This window comes from Homo sapiens (assembly GCF_000001405.40).
Source record: "Homo sapiens chromosome 9 unlocalized genomic scaffold, GRCh38.p14 Primary Assembly HSCHR9_UNLOCALIZED_CTG2".
NCBI lineage: Eukaryota > Metazoa > Chordata > Mammalia > Primates > Hominidae > Homo > Homo sapiens.
In genome coordinates, this window is record NT_187373.1 from 22,892 (window position 1) to 27,674 (window position 4,783).

At 37.4% G+C, this 4,783-nt stretch overlaps 1 long non-coding RNA gene across 1 annotated transcript; it reads left to right on the top strand.

Moving 5' to 3' along the window:
• Positions 1–3,083: 3,083 nt before the first annotated feature.
• Positions 3,084–3,990, top strand: LOC102724727 (uncharacterized). Its single transcript, XR_001756126.2, has 2 exons — positions 3,084–3,136; positions 3,899–3,990. It is a non-coding gene; the product is annotated as an uncharacterized LOC102724727 (long non-coding RNA).
• Positions 3,991–4,783: the final 793 nt, after the last annotated feature.

Consider the following 4,783-nt stretch of genomic DNA (forward strand, 5'->3'; position numbering starts at 1 on the left):
TAGCCAGGATGGTCTCGATCTCCTGACCTCGTGATCCACCCGCCTCGGCCTCCCAAAGTGCTAGGATTACAGGCGTGAGCCACCGCGCCCGGCCATGAATATTTATTTTCACACACAAAAGTCCCTCAGACATTGATTCTTAAATTCAAAACACCAAAGGCATTGTATATGCCTTTTCATGTTTTCTAATTGTGAAGAAAATAAATTTTACTTAAAATGCTAATATTTGAATAAAGTATGCATTCATAATTATGTTCTTGTCTTTAAAGTTAATTTTTCAAACAGAACTAAATCAGTTTTATCTTCAGTAGATCTTTTAGAAAGGAAGCAATCCTACCTCATCTAATTAGAGTTTAGTCCTACTAGGAAGATACACTACAAATATTTATTGTGGCAATCTTTGAAAGCAAAATGAAAGGTGATTTTGGTTTCCTTTTCTATATGTTCTTGTATTACATTTTTCAGGTTTTTCTCTAAGTTCTTTTCTGTGATTTTTAAATCAGGGAGGAAAAATTCATTCAGTCTAAACACTTAATATTTCTTCTACAAGAAGTATCCTCATGGCTATTTTGTTATTTTGTTTCACTTAGGGGAAAATGGATTTGTTGGCCTCAAATAGCTGCTTTATTAGATGCAATGAAGCAGGGGACATAGAAGCAAAAAGTAAAACAGCAGGAGAAGAAGAAATGATGAAGGTAATGATGACATTTTATACAGATGACTGCATTCACACATGCGATGTGACTGTATCTCTTTAAAATGTTAAGTCATCATTTACTGTCACTTTGAAGATTTACTTAATAGCTTTTTATAATGTGGTGTTTCAAATAGACTCATTTTAAATTACAAATCGCATAGTTGATGGCTTGTTTATACAGTGTGGTAGAGAAATCAGTGCATCTAGGAGCTACCTTGCCATTATCTCCATGGATTAGTATCTTTTACTGGTAGTTCCACATGCTCTTTTTATGCTTTCATTTTCTTGTTTTCTTGCTTGTATTTTAAAATCTAATTTTTAAAATAGATAACATGTACACGTGGTCCAACATTTTTAAATAAAAGCATACGAAGATGAAGACATATGCCTGCCATGCATCTTGCTCACCTGTGTCCCAGCTCCTGTTCCTCTTTCCCTTTGTTTTGTTTTTTTATAGCCTCCTAAAATTTCTTTATAAACATATGAATATATTTATAATTTTCAACTGTCTTACACTAAAGGCAGCCTCCTCTATAGTTTTCTCGACTTTGATTTTTTTTTCTTTAAAATTGTATCTTGGAGAGTTTTCTACTATTAGTTTGAATGTAGAAAGCTTTCTCTTTTTCTTGCTTCTCCTCTCTTTCTCTCTCTCTCTTTTTTAACGCCACATAATATTCCATTTTAGGGATGTACCTTTATTTATTTAGTCTTTTATAGATGGAAATTTAGGCTGTTTCCAGTCTTTTGCTCTTATAAACAGTGCTGCAGTACATAACATTGAATATACATCAATTTGTAGATGTGCGGGTGGACCTGAAGATAAATTTCAAGAAGCAGAATTACCAGGTCGGGGTACACGCATTTGTATTTATGTAATGCTTGAGCTTCTGTGATGATAATCACTCTATGAAACATAAAAAATCATAGCAGAACTTCTGGGGCCTTAGCCCTTACATTTTAAAAATATTTTTAGTAATAGTACCCGTCTTCTTTGCATTAGGAGAAACATGAATCACATAAAACATGATTTTTATTTTATTTTTAAAATTTGTGTGCGTCACTAAGCTGGAAATAAAAGTTCCTTATTCCAGGCTAAATTCCCTCATCCGTAGTCAGACGCGTTATCCATTGCACCAGTGGCCTGTGCCCTCCCTAACCCTACTCTTTGTTTTACATCATTGTAAAAGTTACACAGACATCTTCATATCAAGGTGAAATTCTAAATAATACTGTTAATATAACCTAGATAAATCAGGTAGTTAACTGGAATTTGATGAAAACATTTAAGGCTTAATTTTTTAGACTCACAAAAGCCACTGATCTTTAATGATAAACATATATCAGGATGTGTCTAAAGAATAACTCCCCCCTTCTTGACACATGGCTTTTCTGTGTCTTGGCATTCCATCGCAGTACTGAGCATCCTGAACCTTGCTTTGTTTGTCTCTTTTGGGAATCACTGGTTGCATCCAGTCTGACCCAGATTTACTCTGTCAGGCATTGTGGGGGCCAGAGTGGAAGGCTCTAAGAGAGGGGGCAAATGCCTTTTCTAAAACGGCCTTCGTTCTTATAATCAGAGCATAAAAATTTATGTTACGTTTTTCTCTACTACCAGTGTAATTTAAAAGCATCTATCAATTCTCTGTATGTGCTTCATGTTAGATTTCCGGTCATATGTTTGATTTTCTTTTTAGAATAGTCTTGATTTCAGATAATTTCAAATCTAAAGCTCAAACAATTTCAATCTAAAATGTAGGTATTTTCTTACAGTTAGAGAAGTGAAGTGTTATATTTTTTCGTTGCATGCATCCGGCACATGCGTTGCAGTCTTGAATTTCCATAATGCTCCTGTGAGGTGGATGTGAGCTCAGCCTTACAGACAGTAAGACAGCCTCTGACCTTCCTTACATCCTCGTGGTTTTTGTCAGTCAGTTCATGGAAATCACAGTGATTTCAAGGTGTGGTAAGACAGGATGTGTACCCAGGCCCAGCTGACTCCAGAGGCCAGTCTCAGTATTTCATAGCACATTGCTTCTCAGGAAACAGGTCATGGAGGAAATGCAGATGGGTTTGTGACTTACATTTAATTTAATTTATTTATATTTTATTGTATCATGTTTAAATTATTTTTCATCTGGATATCATCACAAAAGTGTTATTGAAGGCAACAATTGCAAATATATGTGCAGTGCTTTGCACTTATACAAAGATACAAAGATACTTACACAAAGATTGCATTTTTCACTGTTTAAAGCAATTTTCAGATGAAATACAAAGTTTTCTGGGTCTCTTTGGTTAGTCAAGTACTTGGAAGCTCTGAACAGTGATTATTTAGGACTCTTTTCGTACCATTTAATTGCAGGCTCTCCTAATCTCTGTCAGCCCTTCACCTTTATAACCTTGCCTTATCTACCAGAACACAGATCCCTCTTACTAAAGGTAGCATTGTGCTACAGGCCCTAGCAGGGAATGTTTTCAGGTCTGGGACCCCTCTAATCAAAACTGTTACAAAGATGTCATTGGCACAAACACGTTATTTGTCATCACTTTCTAAGCAGCCCTGGAACTAGACTCTGGCCACAGAGATCCCTTAGGAGACATGAGTCCTTACCATTGCCAATTACCTGTTCTGTGGGCGATCCTAATTGTTGAATGCAGATCAATTAACTTATGACATGTGATAGTAAACATCTATCCAAACTTAGGAGGATATAAGAAGCTAGTAAAAGAGGTGGGTTCCAATTAATTAAAAACAAGTTGTGTAATGTTAAAAGTTTTAATACTTTGGTAATAGTCTGTGCAATCTAAAATAGCTATTAAGCTTTCAATCTGATCAAATGAACACTTGTCTACTAGGGATAATTTGATCCTAGTGTATTGACTTGGAGGACAAAATTAAATTAGTTAATGATTGCTTTACTGCCTAACAGATCTGATGTGTAAAATGTTTCTGAAATAATTTTGTCTGTAGTGTTTCTGACACAAGGGCTGTGGAGGAAGCATGTGATAGCACTTACTCATATAGATTATATATATGAAGTAAAAACACATAGCCAGAACCTGTCTTTTTCTGAATATAGTTGCTCAGTTAATTTTTTCTTCTGCATAAGAAATCATCTCGAATGTTCTTATGTGATACGTAAAGTGGGGAAGGTGGAAGATAAACATATAACCCATTGGATTCTCTTTTCCAATATCTAGATTAGATCCTGTGCTGAAAGAGAAACCAAGAAAAAAGATGACATTCCAGAAGAAGACAAAGGAAATGTAAAACAATGTGAAATCAATTATGTGTATGTATGCTTTTCCTTTTAGACCTACAGATTTGACAGTGAAGTGCTTCTCAAAGTGCTTTCAAAATAAATTACCTAATTAGCTGGGGATGGTGGTGCATGCATGTAGGCCCAGCTACTCGGGAGGCTGAGACAGGAGGATTGTTTGAGCCCAGGAGTTCAAGGCTGCAGTGAGCTCTGATCACCACTGCATTCCAGCCTGGGTGACAGAGCAAGACCCCGTCTGAAAAAATGAAAACTGATGGACAAGAAGAGGCAACACAATGTAGCCTCTGGGACAGAGCACTGAGCTAAATGCTTTTCTTTTCTTGAGGGTTCAGTTTTCCTAATCATCCTACCAGCTCCCAAAACTAGTCAGTCGGGTTAGTCAATCTCTCTATTCATTCATACAATGGGAGTGATGCCAGTCAAAGGCTGTGCTATGGCCAGGACACAGGGGACTCCAGCCAGCATGCCCTAATAGAAATGGGGCCTTGTGCTACCCAGTCAATGAGTGGCCCTCCTCTTGAGAGGTCACCTTTGTTGTTCAAAAGCTCCAGCTTATTTAAAAAAATATAATTAGACTTTTTTTTTCTCCCCCAAGACGGAGTCTCGCTCTGTCCCCCAGACTGGAGTGCAGTGCCATGATCTCGGCTCATCGCAACCTCCACCTCCCAGGTTCATGTGATTCTCCTGCCTCAGCCTCCCGAGTAGCTGGGACTACAGGCACACGCCACTACGCTCGGCTAATTTTTGTATTTTTAGTAGAGACGGGGTTTCACCATGTTGGCCAGGCTGTTCTCGAACTCCTGAC